The following is a 24,543-nucleotide window of genomic DNA, read 5'->3' as shown; positions in this document are numbered from 1 at the left end:
CTTGTTATTGATTTATAGTTTTATTCCATTGCGTTAAGAGAAGATAGATAGAATTTCATTTGTTTTGAATTTTTTAAGACTCGTTTTGTCTTAAAAAATGGTCTGTCCTTAAGAATGATCCACGTGCTGAAGAGAAGAATGTGTATTTTGCAGCCATTGGATGAAATGTTCTATAAATACTGGTTAGATCCATTTGGTCTACAACGCAGAGTAAGTATGATGTTTCTTTATTTTCTCTCTGGATGATCTCTCCTATCGGGGGAACCTGCCCCTGATATTTCAACATAGATTCTTTTCTATTTTCCCTAAGTGTCGGCTGGTCTAAGAAATAAAGGGAAAAAGTATAAAAGAGAGAAATTTTAAAGCTGGGTGTCCAGGGGAGACATCACATGTCAGCAGGTTCTGTGATGCCTCCTGAGCCTCAAAGCCAGCAAGTTTTTATTAGCAATTTTCAAAAGGGAGGGAGTATATGAATAGCGTGTGGGTCAGAGAGATCACATACTTTAAGGGCAACAAAATATCACAAGGCAAATGGTCAGGGCAAGTTCACAAGGCCAGGGAGAAACTAGAATTAATAATGAGGTTCCCTGTCCTGCTGTGCACGCATTGTCATTGATGAACATCAGGAAACAGGGTTTGAGAGCAGACAACTGGTCTGACTAAAATTTACTAGGCAGGAATTTCCTAATCCTAATAAGCCTGGGGGTGCTGCAGGAGGCCAGGGCGTGTTTCATCCCTTATCTGCAACTGCATAAGGCAAACACCCCCAGATCGGCCATTTTAGAGGCCCCCCCGGGAATGCATTCTTTTCCCAGCGCTCTTAATTATTAATATTCTTTACTGGGGAAAGAATTCAGCGATATTTCTCTTACCCATCTTCGGTAATAAGAGAAATATGGCTCTGTGCTGCCTGGCTCCCAGGCAATCAGACCTAATGGTTATCTCCCTTGTCCCCTGAACATCTCTGTTATCTTGTTCTTTTTTCAAGGTGCCCAGATTTCATATTGTTCAAACACAGGTGCTTTCCGAACAACTTGTGCAGTTAACACAATCATCACAGGGTCCTGAGGCGGCATACATCCTCAGTTTATGAAGATGATGGGATTAAGAGATTAAAGTAAAGACAGGCATAGGAAATTATAAGGGTATTGATTGGGGAAGTGATAAATGTCCATGAAATCTTCACAATTTATGTTCAGAGATTGCAGTAAAGACAGGTGTAAGAAATTATAAAAGTATTAATTTGGGGAACAAACAAATGTCCATGAAATCTTCACAATTTATTTTCTTCTGTCACGGCTTCAGCAGGTCCCTCCGTTTGGGTTCCCTGATTTCCTGCAACACTCTCCAATGCTTGAAGTGGCTGTTGAGTTCTCCAGCTATTATTTTATTGGGGTCTATCTCTTTCTTTAACTCTAATAATATTTGCTTTATATATTTGAGTGCTCCAATGTTGGGTACACACATATTCACAATTGTTATATCCTATTGCTGAATGAATTGATTTCTTTATCATTATATAATGACACTCTCTCTTTTTATAGATTTTTTCCCCTGAAATATATTTTACTGATATAATTGTAGCTATTCTTCCTCTTTTCTTTTGGTTTTTATTTGCATGGAATATCTTTTTACATCCCTTTATTTTCAGTCTCTGGGTATCTTTATAGGTGAAGTATTTTCTTGTAGGCAAAAGAGCAATGGGTCTTGTTTTTTATTTTTATCCATTCAGCTACTCTATGTCCTTTCTGTTTGTTTGTTTGTTTGTTTTGTTTTTGCAGACAGAGTCTCACTCTGTCATCCAGGCTGGAGTCCAGTGGTATGATCTTGGCTCACTGCAAACCTTTGCCTCCCTGGTCCAAGTGATTCTCCTGCTTCAGCCTCCAAAAGTAGCTAGGACTACAGGTGAGCATCACCATGCCCAGCTAATTTTTGTACTTTTAGTAGATAAATGGTTTCACCATATTGACAAGGCTGGTCATGAACTCCTGACCTCAGGTGATGCACCTGCCTCGGCCTCCCAAAATGCTGGGATTACAGGTGTGAGCCACTGCACCCAGCCCACTCTATGTCTTTTGATTGGACAGTTTTGTCTATTTTCATTCAATGTTATTATTAATAAGTAAAGACTTAGGCCTGCCATTTTGTTATCTGCTTTCTGGTTGTTTTGTGGTCTTTTTGTCCTTCTTTCCTTCCTTCCTGTCTTCCTTTTAGTAAGGTGATTTCTCTGGTTGTATTTTTAACTTCTTGCTTTTTATTTTTTGTGTTGTTGTATGATTTTCTATTGGTACTATGAGGCTTCCAAGTACTATCTTACAATTCTTTATTTTAAACTGATGACAACCTAACATTGATTGCATAAAAAAAGAAACAACAAGCAAAGAGAAAACTAATAAAAAAAATTTAAAATACCTGATCCTCAAAGAAAACAGATGTTAACTTCTCCTGAGACCTTAAAAAAATCGCGTTTTTCTTTTGTATTTAGATATTAAAGATGATACACTTATTTATAGGTATCTTTTGGCTATATCATTCATTCTGACATGTACAGAAGATATTAGTAGTTGGGGAAGTTTATATGTACAGTCTTAGTATTTATTAGATATTATTGGTAGTGTAAACACAAAGAAATATTTCAATTTAATGTACTCTAAAATTTTAGCTCTCTGGAAGATTCATGGAATTTGGTGATTAGAAAGGTGTCAGTGATTTTGAGAATAGAGTTTGAATAATGTACTGAATGCAGAAGCGAGAGAGCCAAAGGTTAAGGATAGACATTATTTCTAGAGTGATCTTTGACAAAGTAACTGGTTAATCTCTGATAATTTTGAACATCCATATTTATTGGAATGGGAAAACATAAGGTCTTTATTATGTGTCAAAAGCCACAAATAAATATAGGGTTAGTTGCTGTTATCCATTTATTTGTAGGCCTTTGATATTCCAGTGGTGTTGCTCATTCATCCAACTCAAAATAAGGCAGTGAAGCATATTTTCTTTCACTGGAAATATTTTTTAAAATGAAAACTTACTTATTTTCTTCTTCTTAGGCTGAAGATTTACAAAACACTGAGTAGAAAGTGAACTGATTTACAAAACACTGATTGTTATTATTTATATGATTTAATTTACATTTGTACCCTTGTGTGAATAAAATACTTGGTATATGAAAATGAATTAATTTTCGGGCTCACCTCCTCATACAGTTTTGCACATTGTGGAGTCAAAAAAAAATGACTGGTTTCATTAAGGTTATTTTAGTAAAGTAGATTTGATGTAAGCATAGTCATCAATTCTTTATAAAGAACTTTCACACTTGATTTTATCTTCATTTTTCCTAATTTGTGTTTATTTGCCAACTAGGCGGTTCACACAGAAAGTAAGAGATACCAGACAAACTTATTTGACTTTTTAAATGTTGATGTTTTCCATTTAGAAAAATATATTGAGATCTTACTGAAATATCAGTTCTCTGGCTCTACCATTTTAATTTTTGAATCACTTTGGGGTTGTAGAAAGCCATAAGAGAAATAGGATGTTGAAGCATTTTCTCTAAACTGCAAAAGACAGAATGGACAGCATTTTTTTAGATTATTTATATAAGATTATAACTACTAATTATAATATATTATTTATATTATAGTTAAGTCTAGTTATAATATTGATGTATATATATTACTCAATGTTATTGTGCTTTTATTGTTATAGGTAGTAGATTTTTTACAAGTAGTAAGGGGAGAGTTTTATAATCACATAATAAATGCCATCATCAATGTGTTTCAGAATTATAATGTCTTGATTGGGTTCTCTGGAAGCAGAGCCTGAGAAAAGAAATTTCTGTTTATGTGGTTTCAAAAGGAAAATGTGGGGAGCAAGATAAGATAGGGGGAAAAGCTAGGGTATGGTCTCAGAGATCAGTTTCTGGGTGACCTCACAGGACTATCTGGAGCATAAATTTCATCATAGATTTAGTCTCATCTTAAAGCGAGGAGGCCTGTCTTATTAACCCTATTGTCAGTCATCAAAAGGCTGAGATGTAGCAAAAGAAAAGTACATTGCTAGCCAGAAAAGGGAAGTCTCTTTTCATATTATGGGCTGCTTCTCTCTTCATACAAAGAGAATGACAAGATGTTCTGCCAATGCTTAGTGGGAGAATAATTTTAATTTCTTCTCACTACTACCTTTCTGGGTTATCTCTGAATATGGTTGTTAGGCAATCAGGTCTTCCATTTTTATATTGTGTTTACATACAAAGCAGATATGTGTCTTAACTAAACACAGATTTTTTTTCCTCTGGTAGCTAATCCTAGTGAATCCTCCATGAGGCCATTGTTCTGAATGGAAGAAGAGAGATATATGCAATAGGAAAAGGTGACGTGGAATCTATGAGAGTCCCATGTTTATGTAGCATATTGTGCCTACTGTATCTATTCAGGTGAATCTCAAATTTTCTACTTCTATTTTAGAACAGATTGCTGCTGAATCTTGGTGCATATAATGGTATTTAGCTGATTCAGAACAGTTCTTGTTCCATGACCGTACGGTATTACATTATAAAATGCTCCATACATATCTGATCTCAGTAACATGCTGGTTGTTTGAATAACCTATAGTCTCTGATAAGAACAGTTTCACCATGCTATAGAACTTTAGAGTTCTGCACTGTAACTTTTACTGGGGTTTGGCAGAAGCAAACTGTGTTTCTCTAACACAGTTATCTCTAATATCTTGGGATTCTGCAAGTGATATGGGCCAATCAGGCTTGCTTCTACTGCAGTCTGAACCTACTTTAGAGTTCTTTCTTGTTCTGGATGTTACTCAAAACTAGGAGTCATACACATCATCCAACAAATTTATCTGAATGGTAGTTGCAAGTAGAGGATATGACGCCTCCAAAACCCAGGGGACTTTCTTAGTGATAGGTGTTGCAAGGTGCAATAAAATGTCTTCTAATTTTCTGGTATATTCCGGAACACTAGACCACCCCTAAAAACTCTATTAATGTGGTAGGGTCAGAAACTCTATAGTTTTATTTCCCATTCAATGGGGTGCATGTGTTTTACCAAGGAATCCAGAAAACTTTCTGCTTTTATTCATCAAAATTGACTTATAAGATACCATCAACAAAGGGGAAAATGTGATTTATTTTTTAGAATATCCCAATGGTCCAAGTCTCTTCTGACTATACTACAGCAAAGAAAGGGAGAATTATTATATCCATGGGACCAGACAGTGAATGTGTATTGTAGTTCATCCCGTATGAACACAAACTACTTTTGATCCTGATGGGTATAGAAAAGAATGCATTCACCAGATTAATAGTCACATATTCCTTTAACATATTTGAGTTTGGGTTGTTTCACTCTTTCAAAAATACTACATCTTGTGTAATAGCTCCAATTGGCATCGCTACTTGGTTAAAGTTTGCAGTAGACCACTGTCATTTATTAGGATTAATACAATTTTGTAGGAGTCAGACAGGTTAATAGAATGGGGAATATGATGGAGAACACCATCTCTGCTTCTTATAATTCTTTGAGAATTGCATCTCTACCATATCCTCCAAAATGCAATACTAGTTTTGACATACACAGTTGGCCCTCCATATCCCTGGCTTCTGCATTCATGGATTCAATCAACCTCAACTTGAAAATTTTTTAAAAGAAAAAACAATAAAAATATCAATACAATAATAAAAAATAAAAATAAGTGGCTATAACTCTTTACATAGTATTTACATTGTATTATGTATTATAACTAATTTAGAGATGATCTAAAATATACACAAGGATGTGCATAGGTGATATGAAAATATTATGCCATTTTATATAAAGGATTCAATTATTCACGACTTCTGGTATCCATCAGGGGTTCTAGAAACTACCCCCAGTGGATATTGAGGGAGTATTTTATGTTCTTCATTGGTGGTAATGGTAATGAGTTTTTACTTGATACCACTTAGCCTTTTTTACCATTATATTTTATATTTAACAAGCCAAGGGACTAATGTGAGGGTTCTGCTCACTGGTAAGTATGTCCATACCAAATATAAATTAGGAAATAGAAATAAAAATTTGAAGGCAAATATAAATGACTACTAGTTGAGGCCATGGAGCCAGTATACCCAAAATAAGAAAAACCTAGGCTAGGATTCCATGTTACCCATATTAGATTCCTGTTGCTGCTGTAGCAAGTGACAACACAATTAGAGGCCTAAAGCAATGCAAATTTGTTATCTTACAGTTTTGGAGGTCAGAAGTACGTAATATGTTTCACTGGGATAAAATTAAACTGACATGAGGTCTGCTTCTTTCTGGAGGTTCTAGGAAAGAAATCTGTTTCCTTGTCTTTTACAGATTCTAGTGGCCAGTGTGGCTTGTGGTTCCTCCCTCTATCTTCAGAGTGAATCACTGCAGATGTTGCTTCCATCATCACATTGTTTTCTCCTCTGATTGACTTCTCCTGAGCTCACATTTCAACCCTTTTTATAGTAATTATGCCAAATTAGCATCTCATAATTAAATGCCTGGGATACATCCTGTAATCCCCATCTCATGTCTCAGAATTCCACTTCATTTCTATCAGAGTTCTTATTTTGGCATAGAAGATTTGATCGCCATATGAATTCTGCATTCTCTAAAGTTTTGGCACACTTAGAATTAAGTTTTGTGATTGATATTTAGGTGCATCTGGCCTTCAAAGGCAGGAGATAAGACTCTCTTTAAGTATTGCAAAGAAGACAATAACTCATACATGTTGCTTTAAATAGTTGAACAGATTTAAACTACATTTTCTCTTTTAAAGACATCAACGGTATTCAGCAACAGTCAATGCCATAGTCATTACAGTTGTTATATCCCCTAGATCTGTGAAATACCCAAGATATTGCATTAACTAGTGCTTTTCTTTTCACCTGTATCTCTTCCCAGTTTATCACGTTTGAAAGTTTTAGCAATATCAGCAGTATAACATGCCAGATGCTATCAATATATCTATCTACCACAGTAATGGGGGGGCGGTGGTCCTCTTTACCACCCAGGTGGTGAATAATCTGACTAAAGACCTACATTCTTAAAAGGCTGCTTCCTATGATGACTTCTATTACCACCTATTTTACATCAGTTTATCCAAAAGCAGAGCCCAGGATGTGAGATCATCTCCAAATGATAAATTGGGGGAGTGCTCTCGATCAACAGAAATATAGGAAGTATGATAGGGTATAGTAGAAACGCTAACTTAAATTCGTGTCCCCACTGAAGAACCAGCTGCAGTCTGATCTCAGAGAAAAGCTCTGGAGCACAAAACGTACCACAGAGGTAGTCCATCCTGAGGTAAAGAAATGTGTCTTATAACCTCTTAACAGGCAGCCACTGGTCAAGGTGGTTAGGAGATGGGTTAGAAAGCCATAGCTTCCAGGGGAAATGACTCCAGTTTGGCTACAACACTTTTCTACAGAAGGCAGCAGTTGCAAGCCATTGTTGACCAAGACTCCCAGTTTCTGGGAAAATGGGTGCACTGACTGGAAAAGGGGAATGGGATGTAGCAAGAACGGCATTCTTGACATAAAATTCTACAAGTATAAATTAATTTTACTTCAAATCTCCCAGATGTGTATAACTACACCAATTGAGGCACTTCAGGTGAGCAAAAGACATACTACGTAATCTTGTTTGGTTTCTGTTGTTCAGACAGAATATCAACACTATAAATTACTCAGGTGATTTTAAATCCCCACTTTGGGCAGTGAAATCCTATACACTAGCTTTGTTCCTATTACTCTGTGTGAAATGACGATGTGGCTATTATCCTCTTATTCGGATCATCCAGGGCAGATAACTTGAACCCTAAATTGACTTTTCTTTTCCTACTTGAATCAATCAATTTACCTGTTTAAATTTATAAAAGCTAGCTTACAGCTTCAGTAGATTGGTCTGTACCTGAGTGGGATAGGTTTTTCTGCACAACACCAAACAGTTTGGATGAAAAGCGAAAAATCAGGTGGCTCAGATAAATAATGTGGCAGCCCACTGTCCATTCAAGACCAAACAAGTGATTTTAGCCACGTTCCCAAGTTGTGATGAATAATGAAATCGTGTTTTCATTTAATCTTGGTGGTTTCGGCTCACTTAAAGGTAGTTGATCTGATTTGACAGTACTTCACTCATCTAGGGAAAATGTGATTACCTTTTGGCTTCCAGGGAGTAGTGGGATGTCAGAGTTAGATACTGAAAATATATTAAAGCTGATTTTTTCTTTAATTTTTAAATTTAATTTGGGATTACATACTCTGCTAAAGATCTATACTTTAAAATATGGAGATTTGGATCACTGATCCAAACAACCATTTGAAAAAAATAGTACATTATCTTGGGCTGTAAAGAAAATAAACCAATTCATAGAACCAAGGCATTTCTATAGGGCATTGGGCCATCATGTCTCCATGTTTCTATTTAATAGATTAATGCATTAAAATTTCTGTTTAGTATTTCAGAATGGTGATTATCTGTCCCTTAAATTTTTATTTAGGAGACAAGAATTTTATTACTAAGAAAAACAATCCCTTAGTACTGTTGAGGGCTTTTCACCTTCTAGATGATAATAGGTTAATTTGTTCATTAATAATTTAAAGAATATATTTTCTGAGGCTTTTAATGAAAAACATATTTAAAATTTAACCTCTTTGCTTTTGAATTTTATACTTAATGTCACATTATGAAGCATTTTTAAATTTTTCGAAGACCTCAGAAAATGTCTTATTTTGTTTTGTCTAAATTAAATTTTTTTCTGCGATTTCCAGAGGAAAAATAAAAATAATTCTATAAAGAAATATCTATATGGCACTTAAGACTACTTTAAACATTAAACATTTATACTAGGGCAAAAACACATTTTATGTATTGCCTAACTGTGCTTCAAATACTCAAACCTCACTCTTGAGTATTTGCACAATAACACACATCATCACTGATATCTTTGAGAGCATGTATCTTTCTATGGGAAATTTACTATGCAAGTATTACAGACTGAATCTTAATCCTTAAAATTCTTATGTTGAAGCCCTAAGCCCCCGTGTGACTGTACTTGGACATAAGGCTTTGGGGGAGAGAATTAATGTTAAATGAAATCATAAAGGTAGATCCCTACTTGATAGGACTGGTGTTCTTATAAGAAGAGGAAGTTACACCAGACATCTCCCTCTCCCCAACTACAGAGGAAAGGCTTTGTGAAGACACACACACACACACACACACACACACACACACACACACGTGACTATCTGCAAGCCAGAAAGAAAGACCTCACCAGAAACTGAATTTGCCAGTACCTTAATCTTGGACTTCTGGCCTCCAAAGCTGTGAGAAAATAAATTGATGTTGTTGAAGGCATCCAGCCTGTGGTACTTATTGTGGCAGTCTGAGAAGCAAGTAAGAAGTGACAGAATCCAGACATCTCAAGACATAGACTTAGTACATATGAGATCATTTTCTTCTTCTGAGTTGCTATAGATGGGTAGAAAATATCCAATTTGGACTAAAATTAATGATTGACTTGTACTTGGTGACATCATGCAGACACTAAGAGTGATGGCTAATCTATTGATTTTGATATGCAAAATGTGCTTCTAAAGTTATTGATAAAATACTTTATAGGTAGAACTAACTGCAAGCACTGATTTTTCTTGTTGGCTTTCGCTCTCTAAATATGAGATATTTGATGCTTAACATACACAAATAATGTTTATTGAATATGTTCTATATATCATGAATATTCTATACATGGTAGAATTATTTACCCAACAGGATTGGCCAATGTTGCAAATGAGGTCTTTTTCTTCACTGCATGGAGAACCAGTTATTAAACATGTAGCACTCCATCTCTCCTTAATACATATTGTATTCTAATCGAACCTGGAAGCAATGGGGGAGTGCAAAAAGCTTGTGACATGGCTTTCACTTTTGAAATTTTGTTCAGAAAAAGAAAATAAAATTCATATGCTTGACTAGCCCACTGTACATTTATTATATTATGTGTTTATTGATTCATGCAGCCGCTCATTCATTTTTATGAAATTTTATTGTGAAATACAGCAAAATACTGATGTTTATACAACTATGCACAATTTAATGAACAATTATAAGTAAAGAATTGTGTAACTACCTCACAAGATAAAAGTTAACATTGTCATTACCTTAGAGAACTTCATCTGCCCTGTGTTTCTATCATATGTATAGCATTGAAAAGACCTTGAAGGACTTTAGGCTGTATTTTCAGATATTCAAGAACGATCTCTGGTTTCAGGGGACCTCCTATTACATCCCACTGTCTCCTACCAAACCATATTTTTATATAATCATTTTTACAGTCTTTTTGTTTGTAATCATTTCTTTTAATCAACATTATGTCTGGCCATTCTTCCACACTGTTTGTGTGGCTGTGGTTCATTCATTTATGCTATTATGGAGTAAAGATTTACCTCAATTCATTGCTTTATTCTTTTAAGCAACAGACATAAAATTAATCCTTTTAAAGTGTACACTTAAGCATTCTTTAGTATATTCACAAAGAAGTAGTGCAACCATTACCACTGTCTAATTCCAAAATATTTTAATCCCCCAAAAAGAAACTCCATATCCATTCAGTCACAACTAATCGCCTCCTCACTCTACCTAATCCCAGATCTGACACTTATCCACTCTGTCTCTATGGATTTGTCTATTCTGAACACTTTATGTAAATGGAATCATGCAATTTGTGGCCTTGTGGTTTGACTTCTTTAATTTAGCATCACAGTCTCAAAATTCACCCATGTTGTGACTTGAATCAGCACTTTATTCCTCTTTATTGCCAAATATTCGATTGATTGGATATATCACATTTGTTTATCCATTTATTTGATGGACATTTGAGTTGTTGCAATTTTCTTCACTATTATAAATAATGCTGCTGTCAACATTTCTGTGTGTTTTTATTGGGACGTATATTTGCATTTTCTTGGGCATGTATCTAAATGTGGAGTTACTGAGTCATGATAAAGCTGTGCTTACCTTGTGTAGGAACTGCCAAAGTTTTCCAAACTGGCTATATCACTTTCCAACAAAGTTTTGAAGATTGCAATTTCTCCATATCCTCACCAACATTTATTACTTTCTGTCTTCTTGATTATAACCATTTTAGGAGAGTGAAGTATTATTTCATTGTGATTTTGATTTGCATTTACATGATAGTTGATGATGTTGAGCATTTAAAAAATGTGCTTAGTGGTCTTCTCTGAAGAAATGTCTTTATTTATAAATTATATTTGGTCTTTAATTATAAAGACCATTTATAATTGTCTTTTTATTAAGTTTAAGAGTTATTTATATTTTCTAGATACTAGTTCAATATCAAATACAGAATTTGCAAATATATTCTCCCATTTTATGGGTTTTTCACTTTTTTGATAGCATCTTTTGAAGCACAAAAGAGTATAATTTTGATAAAGTATAATTTATCTATTTTTTTATTTTATTGCTCTTTTTGGGGTGTCATATTTAAGAAATCATTGCCTAATCCATGGTCAGGGAGTGTTATGCCTACACTGTCTTTTAAGTTTTTTTTTTTTTTTTTTTTTTGAGACAGAGTCTTGTTTGTCCCCCAAGCTGGGATGCAGTGGCACAATCTTGTTGGCTCACTGCAACCTCCATGTCCTGGGCTCAAGCCATTCGCATGCCTCAGTCTCCCGAGTAGCTGAGATTACAGGCCTGTGCCACCAGGCCCAGCTAATATTTGTATTTTTAGTACAGACTGGATTTTGCCATGTTGGCCAGGCTGGTCTGGAGCTCCTGGCCTCAAGAGATTTGCCTGCCTGGGCCTCCCAAATTGTTGGGATTACAGGCATGAGGCACTGTGTCTGGCCCCTTTTAAGATTTTTTTTTTTTAAAGTGGGAGGATTTCATATAAATAATGATAAACCTGTAGATAAATATTAAATCTTTTAATCCAGGAACATAGACTGGCATTACATTTATTTAGTTCTTTAATTCTGCTCAACAATGTTTTGCAGTTTTCAGTGTACAAGACTTACACACTTTTTTTGTTAAATTTAATATTAAGAATTTTATTTTTAAGCCATTGTAAATGAAATTGTTTTCTTAATTTCACTTTCAGATTGTTTATTGTTAATGTAAAGAAATACAGTTGATTTCTGATAATAATCTTGGATCCTACAATACGGATGAACTTGTTTGTTAGCTCTAATAGTTTTTTGTTTGTTTGTCTGAAACAGCATCTCACTTTGTCACCCAGGCTGGAGTGCAGTGGTGCGATCACAGCTCACTGCAGCCCTGACCTCCCGAGTTTAAGCGATCCTCCCATCTCAGCCCCTCAAGTAGCTGGGACTACAGACACGTGGCACCATGTCCAGCTAATTATTTTTATTTTTATTCTTAGTAGAGACGAGGTTTCGCTACATTGCCTAGGTAGGTCTTGAATTCCTGTGTTCAAGTGATCCACCTATCTTGGCCTCCTGTCACAACTATGGAAGAACATGCTTCTTTTGAAGATCTGGTCAAAAGATCATTGCTTACTGAACTACTGAGTCATTGCTTGGAGGATATTGGCTCTACAAGTTCTTCGTATTTCTATGTAAATTTAAAAATCACTTTGTCAAGTTTGTAATAGAAAGTCAGTGGGATTTTGAGTAGGATTGCTTTGAATCCTTTTAGAAAAAAAATGAGCTGCTGATAAAATTGAATCTTCTAATCCACGAACATGCAATGTCTCTTTATTGATTTAGTATTTTAATTTATACAAAAATATTTTGTTATTTTCAGGTTACAAGTCTTGCACATCTTTTCTTAAACTGATTCCTAAGTATTTTGTTTTTTACACTTTTATAAATAATAACATTTATTCCTTTATTTTTCAATTGTTTGTTTCTGGTATGTAGAGTTATAATTATTTTTTCTATATTTGTAATTTTACAATATTGGTGAATTCACTCATTAGTTCTACCTGTTGGTTGTAGATTATTTTGAATTTTCTAAAAAAATTACTCTTGTCATCTCATAATAAAGGTATTTTAGTTTTCTTTTACAATATTTATGGTTCTTATTTATTTTTCTTACAGTGATGCTCTGGCTAGAATGTCCAATACAATGTTAAATAATTTGATAGGACATCTTTGCCGTATTTCCTATCTTAGTGGGAAGTGTTCAATATTTTACCTTTAATTTTGGTGTTAGCTATAGACTTTTTTTTTTTTAATAAATGTCTTTTGTCAGAAACAGAAAGTTCCTTTCTGAGTCATAGTTTTCTATGAATTCCTATTATAAAATGTATTAAATGTTGCCCAAAACTCTTTCAGTACCTATTAAGAAGAGACATAATTTTTCTTCTTTATAACGTGATATATCATTGTAGGTTTTAAAATGTGTTTCTGTGATACATCTCAATGGGTATTGATGATTTTTCTTATTATACATTGCTGGATTCAATTTACTGATACTTTTAAATAATGTTTGTATTCTTGTGAATGAATAATATTGATTTGTAGTATTTTTCTTTTCCTGTAAGGGAGTTGTCACATTTTAGTATCAGGAGTATATAAGCTTCATAAAACAAATTGAGAGTTACTTTCTTCCTGCATTTTCTGAGAGATTTGATGTCAGATTGATATTATTGATTGGTATTATTTCTTAAATATCATTTAAAATTCACCAGTGAAGCCATATAAACCTGAAGAATTCTTGGGGAAAGGCTGAAATTTTGTTGTTGTGAATACAAATATTTTATATATATAATTGCTCTGCATATGAAAACTTTTTGAATCCATTAGATGTGTGTGTAAATATAGTTCAGCAGTAATTTTATGTCAGTATATTGAAGATATAGCAACACCAACTTCTCACTTCTATTATTTGTATATGTAAGTCAATTATCAATGCAAGTGTTAATAATTTGATGGTAATCACAATTTTTTTCTCTGGCTCCTTTAAAACAAACGAAAAATGTTTCTGTGTGCTTTGGTATTCTAGCTGTGACCATGTGACAATTTCTATTTATTTATCCTGCTTGAAATTTCCTGAGCTTTTTGTGCATTAGTTGATTTTATTATTTTGAAAAAAATTTCCAACAATTATATCTTCACATATTTTTGGTTTTATATTTTCTCTCCTTTTTCTAAAATGCTGGTTAGACATATGTGCTACTTTCTAATTCTATTTTTTTTAATGCTGCAATAGCAAACTAATAATTACCCAATAATGCCCATATTCGAATCCCCAGAACCTCTAAATAAGTTACCTCTCATGGAAAGGGGACTTTGTAGATACAATTAAGATTAAGAACCTTGAGATGAAAAGATTATCCTGAGTTATCGAGGGGAGTCCAATTTAATTATATTAGTCCCTAAAAGTGAAAGAAAATGACAACAACAAAAAGAAAGTGTCAAAGAAATGCAACTTGAGAAAGACTAACCACAATTATTGTCTTTGAGACAGTAGGAAGGGGACCAGGAGCCAGAGAATAGGGTGGCATCTAGCATGTGTGAATGGCCTTTAATTTGTAGCCACACAAAAAAAAACGGAACTGAAATCTTCCAAAACTCAAATGAGCATAAAATGTATTCTTTTTTACAACCTTCAGAAATGAATACAGTCTGTCTACATCTTGATTTTAGTCTAGTGAGACCAGTAGTGGACTTCAGACCTACAGAACTAAAAGGTAACAAATTTGTATTTTGTAAGCTGCTAAATTTGTAGTAATTTATTATAGCCACAACAGAAAACAAATATATGTATTGATAACTATTTCTTATTTTAAAATTATATATCTATGCCCTGCATTGGGAATATTTTCATTTGATTTATTTGTCAGTTCACTAATTTTCTTTTCAGCAGTGTCTATATACTTGTTAAAAAGCTATTTGTAATGTTATTTGTTATTGTTACTTTTTTTCTAGACATTTTATTTGGCTTTAATTTGATTTTAATATTCTAATAAATTTTTACAATTTTTGTATATTTTATTTCTTAAAGCATAGCAGACAAATTTATTCATAACTCCTGATAATTCTAATATTAAAAATTATGCAGGTCTATTTTTGCACTGTTATTTCTTTTGATTATTTCTTATGATCCCATGTTTTTGTCTTTCATTTTATACATGATTTGACTATTTTTCTTGGAAAACTTCTGTTATTTAATTAAGGCATTTGTATTTGCTTCTGCTAGCCACTTAGTGGCAATGCCAAACAGGAATAATTTTTATTTAAATTTGCAGCTTTGTTTTTCTTTGTTTTGACCATAAGATGATACAATTTTGCAAATCACAAATATGATGCAAGGGAATCATATTTATTTGTTTATATTAAACTTATGTAACGTGTATAAATTTTTGCCTCATTTTATGTTCATTATAAAAACAATGTTTTCTGTTACCCTGCATTGTAAGTAGGGCGTATTTATTTTGGATTCATAATTAAACTGAGGGTGTAGACACTGGGATTTGAATTATATCAGAGGAGCATTTGAAATTATATAAACCTAATAGCTTGTCTTATACAACTTTAATCTGTATGTATCTTATACTACTTGGGCAAGTTCCATTCTTTTCCTTTTTCCCCATGTAACTAAAATATATTTAAAAACCATAGCTCAAATATTTCAAGTTTGGCAGGTGTCTTTCTTTATATATATATATATATTTTGTTGTTGTTGTTGTTGTTTTATTATACTTTAAGTTCTAGGGTACATGTGCACAATGTGCGGGTTTGTTACATATGTATACATGTGCCATGTTGGTGTGCTGCACCCATTAACTCGTCATTTACATTAGGTATATCTCCTAATGCTATCCCTCCCACCTCCCCTGACCCCACAACAGGCCCCCTGGTGTGTGATGTTCCCCTTCCTGTATCCAAGTGTTCTCATTGTTCAATTCCCACCTGTGAGTGAGAACGTGCAGTGTTTGTTTTTTTGTCCTTGCAATAGTTTGCTGAGAATGATGGTTTCCAGCTTCATCCATGTCCCTACAAAGGACATGAACTCATCATTTTTTATGGCTGCATAGTATTCCATTGTGTATATGTGCCACATTTTCTTAATCCAGTCTATCATTGTTGGACATTTGGGTTGGTCCCAAGTCTTTGCTATTGTGAATAGTGCTGCAATAAACATACGTGTGCATGTGTCTTTATAGCAACATGATTTATATTCCTTTGGGTATACTCAAAAGTCTGTGCTGTATTCAACTTACATTTCTGGATTCCAGCCTTCATTAAGAGTATGGCCTGATATTTTCTTACTATCTTTCAATACTATCTTTTACATCTTTTTCTATTTTAAAAAGAATGTTTTCTTTTTCAATACTGAAAGTTATTACTGCATAGTAGATGTATATATTTGGGGATAAATGTTATATTTTGATATATTCATATTATAATATAAGCAGTGATAAAATCAGAGTAACTGAGATATCCTTTATCTTACCCTATATCATGTATCTTTTCCTTATGCTAGTAACATTTGAATTACTCTTTTCTAGCTAAGTTGAAATATACAATACCATAGATTATTGTTAACTGTAATCACCCTATCGAACTCTCAAACAATATGCCTTATTCTTTCTCTCTAAATGTATTTTTGTACTCATTAATCAACCTCTCTTTATCCTCCCACCCCTTCCAGCATTTATCTTTATGAGATCCATATTTTAACTCCTACGTATGAAGAACATGCAATATTTGTCCTTTTCTGCCTGTCTTATTTCATTTAACATAATGACTTCCAGTTCCATTCATATTGCTGCAAATGACAGAATTTCATTTTTCTTTATTGCTGAATAATATTCTATTGTGTATATATACCATTTTTTTATCCATTCATCTGTGATGAACAGTAGGTTGATTCTGTATCTTGGCTATTGTAAATAATGTAGCAATAAACATGGGAGTGCAAATATCTTTTTGATATACTGATTTCCTTACTTTTGGAAATATAGCCACTAATGGAATTGCTAAATCATTTGGTAATTTTATTTCAAGTTTTTTGACAAACCTTCATGCAATTTTCCATAGCACATTCCCAACAACAGTGTATGAGTGTTCCCTCTTCTTCACATCATCACCAGCATACCTTATTCCCTGTCTTTTTGAGGAAAACCATTTCAACTGAGGTGAAATGATATGGTTTTGATTTGCATCTCTGTGATGATTAGTGTCATTGAGCATTTTTAAAAAATATACTTTGGCCATTTGTATGTCTTATTTTGAAAAATGTCTACTCAGATATTTTGGCCATTCTTCAGTTGGATTATTTGTTGCCTTGCTATTGAACTGTTTGAGTCTCTTATATGTTATGGTTATTAGTCCCTTGTCAGTTGAATAGTCTGTAAATACTTTTCCTATTTTGTGGATTGTCATTCACTTTGTTGACTTTTTTTTTTTTTTTGAGGAGAAACTTTTTTAACATGATATGATCTTTTTTGTCTATTTTTGATTTTGTTGTTGTGCTTTTGAGGCCTTACTTAAAATCTTTGCTCAGACCAATGCCTTGGAGTGTTTCCCCAATGTGTTCTTTTAGTCATTTCATAGTTTCAGGTCTTAGGTTTAAGTGTTTCATTTATTTTGATTTGATTTGTGTATATGGTGAGAAATAGGGATCTGGTTTCCACATACGGATATCTAGTTCTCCCAGCACCATTTACTGAAGAGACTCCTTTTCTCAATCTATGTTCTTGGTGGCTTTGGCGAAAATGAGTTAGCTGTAAATGAGTCAATTTATTTCTGCATTCTCTATTCTGCTCCATTGGTCTATGTGTCTGTTTTCATGCCAGTACTATGCTGATTTGGTTACTATAGTTTTATAGTACATTTTGAATTTAGATAGTGTGATATCTTTAGCTTTGTTCTTTATGCTCAGGACTATTTTGGCCATTTGGTGTCTTTTGTGGTTCCACATAAACTTTAGGATTGCTTTTATTATTTCTGCAAAGAATGTCACTTGTATTTTGACAGAGATTGCATTGAATCTGTAAATTGCTTTCCATAGCATCAACATTTATACAATATTGATTCTTCCAATCTATGAGCATAGAATATTTTTCATTTTATTTTGTCCTCTATAATTTCTTTTGTTAGTGTTTCATAGTTTTTCCCTGTAGAAATTGATTTCTAGTTTAAATCCACTGGAGTTGTGAGACTTGATATGATTTTAACTTTTTCGAGTTTGTTAGACTTGTTTTTTGACTAACATGTGCTCTGTCCAAGAGAATGTTCCATTTGCTTATGAGAAGAATGTGTATTCTGAAGCAGTTGGATGCAATGTTAGTAAATGTCAGTTAAGTTCATTTGGTCTACTGTGCAGTTTAAATACAACTTTCTTTGTTCAATTTCTGTCTGGATAATATGTCCTTTACTAAGAATAGGATGTTGAAGTACCCTGCTATTATTGAATTTCACTTTATTTATCTATCTATTTTTACTTTTTTTTTTTTTTTTTTGAGACAGAGTCTCACTCTGTCCCCCAGGCTAGAGTGCAGCGGGGCCATCTCGGCTCACTGCAACCTCCACCTTCTAGGTTCAAGCAATTCTCCTGCTTCAGCCTCCCAAGTAGCTGGGTTACAAGGATGGACCACCACATATGGCTAATTTTTTGTAGTTTTAGTAGATACAAGATTTCACCATGTTGACCAGGCTGGTCTTGAACTCCTGATCTCAAGTGATCTGTCCGCCTCAGTCTTCCAAATGGATTACAGGTGTGAGCCATCATGTCTGGAGAGATTTCACTTGATCTCTCCCTTTAGATCTATCAAGTTTTTTTTTTTTTTTTTGAGATGGAGTCTCGCATTGTAGCCCAGGCTGGAGGGCAGTGGCGTGATCTCACCTCTCTGCAAGCTTCGCCTCCTGGGTTCACACCATTCTCCTGCCTCAGCCTCCCAAGTACAGGCGCCCACCACCACGCCATGCTGATTTTTTTTTTGTATTTTTAATAGAGACAAGGTTTCGCCATGTTAGCCAGGATGGTCTTGATCTCCTGACCTCATGATCTGCCCACCTTGGCCTTCCAAAGTGCTGGGTCAAATTTGTTTTATATATTTTAGTGGTCCATTGTTGAGTGCACAGGTATCAATAATTGTTACATCATCTTGTTGAATTGAACTCTTTATTATGACCTTTATTGTGACCTTCTTTGTCTCTTGTTATAGTCTTTAACTTGTGGTCTACTATATCTAACATGAGTGTCAGGAATTTCTGCTCTTTTTTTGTTCCATTTTGATGGAATTCATTTTCCATTTTTTCAATTTCAGTCTATGCTGTCTTTAAAGGTGAAGTACGTTTGTTGGAGGCAACATATAGTTGAGTCTTACTTTTAAAATTCATTTAGCTACTCTATGTCTTTTAATTGCAGAATTTAGTCTGCTTATATTTAATGTTATTATTGATTGGTAAGAACTTAAAATTGCCATTTTGTTACTGTTTTCTTGTTTTGTAACTCCTCTCCCTTTTTTCTCTTCTTACTGTCTTCCTTTATAGTTAAGTGATTTTCTCTGGTAGTATGTTTCAATTAATTGGTTGTTTTTAGTGTATCTATTACAGATTTTTGCTTTGTGGTCACCATGATGCTGGATACAAAATTATTTTAAACAGATGACAACTTATCTTTCATCACGAAGAATACAATAGAAAAGAAACAAAAAACAAAAACAGAAAACTGGAAACACTCAGCTTTAACTCCCTTGTCCACACATTTTGAGTTTATATTGTCTCAATTTCAATCTTTTTATATTATCTATCACTTAACAAGTTGCTCTAGCTACTTTTTTGGTATACTCGTGTTCTAGTCTTTATACTATAATTTTGAGTAGATTGTACACTTCAATTACAGTTTTAGAGCATTCTGTTTTTCTGTGTACTCACTTTTACCAGTGGCCTTTATACAACTCCAATTTGTTTTTTGGATTTTTGTGTTTTATTATTATTATTATTATCATTATTATTTAGAATGAAGAACTCCCTTTAGCATTTGTTGTTAGACAAGTCTGGTGGTGATAAACATTTTCAGACTTTGTCTGGGAAAAACTATCTTTCTTTCATGTTCAAAGCACAACTTTGCTGGGTACATGTTCTTGGTTGGCAGCCCTTTACCTTCAGCACTTTGAATATGTTGTCTCACTTTCTCCTGGCTTGTATGATTTCCATTGAGAGAAGTCTGTTGCCAGACAAATGGAAACTCCTTTAAACGTTATTTGCTTCCTCTCCCTTGCTGTTTTTACGATTCTCTGTTTGTCCTTGACCTTTGAAAGTTTGCTTGTTATAGACCTTGGGGTAGTCTCATTTGGATTGAATCCATTTGGTGATCTCTAACTATCCTGTATCTAGATACTTACATCTTTCTGAAGTCGGAAAGACTTCTGTTAACATTTTTAATGAACTTTCTACCACTTGCTCTTTCTCAGCTCTCTTGAACACCAATAATTCTTAAATTTGCTCTTTTGAGGTGGTTTTTAAAAATATCTTATAGGTGTTCTTTGTTCCTTTCTGTTCTTTTTGTGTGTATTTTCAAATATCCTGTCTTCAAGCTCACTGATTCTCTCCTCTATTTGATCCATTTTTTTCTTTGGACAGTTTCTAAAAAATTTTCAGCTCAGCAAACATATTTCTTTCTTACTCACTGGTTTCATATGTTGTTAATTTGTGGATATCATGGTTCCCTGTTTATTGTTGTTTCCTGTGGATGTACATCTATGTTTTCTCATTGAAGAATCAGTTATATATTCCAGTCTTCTCTGTCTGTTTTCTTATGTTTTGTTCTTGGATACGTTTACAATTTACCTGTTGAATATATACATATATATACATGTATGTGCTTGTGCATAGATATATATGTATATATATACACATATATATATTTTATATAGTTTAAGTTCTGGGGTACATGTGCAGAACATGCAGGTTTGTTACATAGGTAGACACATGCCATGGTGGCTTGCTGTACCCAACCTGTTGAATATATTTTCACTAGGTTACTGCCTTCTATTTGGCACTAGGTGGCACCTTGAACCCATGTTTGCTTTGGTTCTAGCAAATGTTTGGAATATTGCCCATCCTGATTGGGGAAATCCTACAAAAAATATCCTGGCTGGGTGCAGTGGCTCACGCTTGTAATCCTAGCACTTTGGGAGGCTGAGGTGGATGGATCTCCTGAGGTCAGGAGTTCAAGACCAGCCTGGTCAACATGGCAAAATCCTGTCTCTACAAAAATAAATAAATAAATAAATATACAAAAATTAGCCACGTGTGGTGGCAGGCACCTGTAATCCCAGCTACTTGGAAGGGTGAGGCAGGAGAATCAATTTGAACCCAGGGGATGGAGGTTGCAGTGAGCTTAGATTGTGCCACTGCACTCCAGCCTGAGTGATAGAACAAGACTCCATTTCAACAACAACAACAACAGCAACAAGTACCTCAACAGTATGGGAAACCTGACTAGGAACTCATGCCCAGGGGAACTGTGGAATATGCTTCCAACAGTATGGTTCTACTAAACAGGCCCTCTGATTTGGTGTTTCCATTGACTGAGATATAGAGCAGAGTTCTGTGGTTTGAGACTGCTAGTCCTGCCTCCTCTCTTTGTCTTTGGCTGTCCTCAGTGGTTTTTCTCCCTTTGGGCACTCGAGATGCTTTTGTGGGTTGAGGCAGAGACAGTTCTCCTGCCAGGGAAACCAACGTGGTAAGGAAGTGGTTGTCCATCTTGATTTCACTTTTTCCAGTGTAGAAACTGTGAGTTCAGGGGAAATTTTATATATGGGAGGATATCTGGTAGATTGGGACCAGTCGTTACTGATATAAAAGTCTGATTCTCTTACTGTCTGCATGGAGTTTTAAAATTCTCTATGGCCTAGAAATGATCTCATCCCTGTATTTGAATTTTAGGATATTGCTGGTAATAATCTTGGCAGTATATATGTATTTTTGGTTTTCAGTTAGGGGAATAAAGTCAGCTTGCTTTTACTCTGTTGTTTCGGTGATTTCATATCAGCATTTTTTATTACTTTTAGTTGGAGTGTATGTTTGAATATCTAACTTGTCGTCTTTCTGAACATAATTCATTTACTAAACAAACACTTATTGGAGACTTATCATATATTTGATACTCCAGTGTAAATAAGACATGACTCTTGACCACTTGGATGTTGCAGTACTGTGACAAACACACATAAACAAGTAAAATTATAAGTTATGTAAGTATTATAAAATAGGAAATAGAAGGAAATCTTGATCTTCTAGGTTAATATTTTGACTCATGAGATTCTGTGGTATTTCTGATTATACAGATTGTTAATTGCAAACTCAAAACTATCAGTTACCCTCAATCCCAGTTCAAGGTTCTTCCTACTTTGCTATATTTATTTATTTTGATTTGTCATTTGTCAATGTTTCCAATAGTGGGATTCTGTCTCACCATGCAGATCAAGCTGCTTGTGGCCTTAAGTTCTTTAAAAGAGTTCTTTAAGAACTCTCTAAAATTTTTTTCATGAGCTTTTAAAATATAAGTTGCTAAAGTTGTATGTATCTTATTATTAATTTTAATACTGCCATGGTAGTAGGGCCACTTATGTATGCTCGATGCATCTTATTTAACTAGACTAAGAAAAGAAAAGTTGTGTAATTCTTCATAAAATGTCAAAGGAGAAAACTGCAATATTTGGTTGAAAATCAAGTCAGTACTACTAGCACAAAACTTTGTCAGGGAATATAAAATACTCAAGGGATCAAGAAACCACCCCTACAGATTATTCATTAGAAAGTATTCAAAAGTTCAGAGATAATACAAATGGAAAATTGAAACTTTTTTTTTCTTTCTCTCTGAGACACCCATTAATTCCCTAATATAAAGCTTCATCTGATGGTTAACTTATGCCATTTGGGTATGAAGTTCTTGTTAGACAATTTTGAAAGGCAGCATCTGTTTTTTTCTATAAGCATTTTTCTACCTTTCCACCTTTCTTGCTATAGATTTTTACAACTGGTGTTCCAGCCAAACACTTGACATTTTACCACAGAACATTAAGTTACCACACTTCCTACCCACATAAATAATCTCATTTCACATTTTTAAAGAGCTTTATTTTCACAATACTCATTACTTTGAAGTCTTCTTATATTAGCCCTGACCAGAGGACTCTATTTTCCTAGTTATTACCTAAAAACAGTCAAAGGACGGTTTTATCTGTGGTTTTGTCTGCTTGTCAGTGAAAGAGATGTTTCTTTTTCTTATGATTGAATAAATATGCAGTAAATACTAAATATTACTTATATGTTAATAATGTCTAACTTCTATTGAGTGTTTTCTATGTATCAATCATAGTTATAAGTTATTTCCCTATGGAGCCAATTTAATTTTCCTGTCAGCTCATTTAATTCAACAACCTTCTAAAACACAGACTATTATTGCTCCTATTTTACAGACAAGGAAGCTAAGACTGTTTTCTAAAAATTTCCATTTTTATTTTAGATTCAAGGGTACACCTACAGGTTTGTTACAAGTGTACATTGTGTGATGCTGAGGTTTGGGCTTCTATTGGTCCATCACCGAGATAGTAAACATAGTACCCAATAGTAAGTTTTTCAATTCTTGTCCCTCTCTCTTCTTTTGGAGTCCCCAGTGTCTATTGTTCCCATCCCTGTGTTTATGTGTACCCAAGATTTAGCTCCCTCTTATAAGTGAGAAAATGGGCAGTAATTGGTTTTCTGTTTCTGAGTTAATTCACTTCAAATAATGGCCTCCAGCTGCATCCATGTTACTTCAAAACACATGATTTTTTTTTTCTTTTTTAATGGTTGTAGTATTCCATGGTGTGTATGTATCACATTTTCTTTATCCAATCTTCCATCGGTGGACACCTAAGTTGATTCCATGTCTTTGCTATTGTGAATAGTGGGAAGCTAGTCCTTAAAAGGAGAAAGTAACTTGCCAAAGACACACAACTGTTCAGTGGCAGAACAGAACAGTTAGATTTTGAACTAAGAAAATCTAACTCTAGGGCCTTTGTTCTTCAGTGTCTGCAATCTAGATTTCCATTGATGATATTTACTCTATTTATTGGGTGAACCAATATCCTCATTTTGATGGGTTTATAATATGTTATTTTATTATAAAGTCATGAATTATCTTGCTTATTTCCTGATTGTAGAGATTTCTTTAGATTTTGTACTTTTAAATGTAGCCTCTTATAAAATAGAGATTATATGTGCATATATTGTATACAAATATGTTATGATGTGAACATGTAGTGACCCATAGTGTATGTAAAATTAAAAGAGTCATTATCTTCTCGTTTCATAAAATTAAGCATTACATATTCTTAAGTATTGTCAAAAACAGGATTATGATTTTAAAGACTGTCTAGAAATCTGTAACAAGAATGTTTTACGTACCCATGAATTTGCTGTTTCTCATATTTCTTCCATTTTACTATGATTAGAAAATACTTTGGCCAATGTTTATGTTCAGTCATAACATATGTTCAGTTCATATTTCACCTATATTTCATTAGACATTG

General features: G+C 34.1%; 1 long non-coding RNA gene across 1 annotated transcript in view; it reads left to right on the top strand.

Moving 5' to 3' along the window:
- LINC00971 (long intergenic non-protein coding RNA 971) overlaps nt 1-24,543 on the top strand; it is a 231,171-nt gene that overhangs the window by 75,503 nt on the left and 131,125 nt on the right. Inside the window, exons 9-10 of the long non-coding RNA NR_033860.1 lie at nt 1,782-1,905; nt 4,301-4,435. This is a non-coding gene — a long non-coding RNA (long intergenic non-protein coding RNA 971). The remainder of the gene's footprint in view (nt 1-1,781; nt 1,906-4,300; nt 4,436-24,543) is intronic.

This window comes from Homo sapiens, chromosome 3 (genome assembly GCF_000001405.40).
Source record: "Homo sapiens chromosome 3, GRCh38.p14 Primary Assembly".
NCBI lineage: Eukaryota > Metazoa > Chordata > Mammalia > Primates > Hominidae > Homo > Homo sapiens.
Note: the sequence above shows the minus strand (reverse complement) of the source record. Positions and strands in the feature narration are given on the sequence as shown.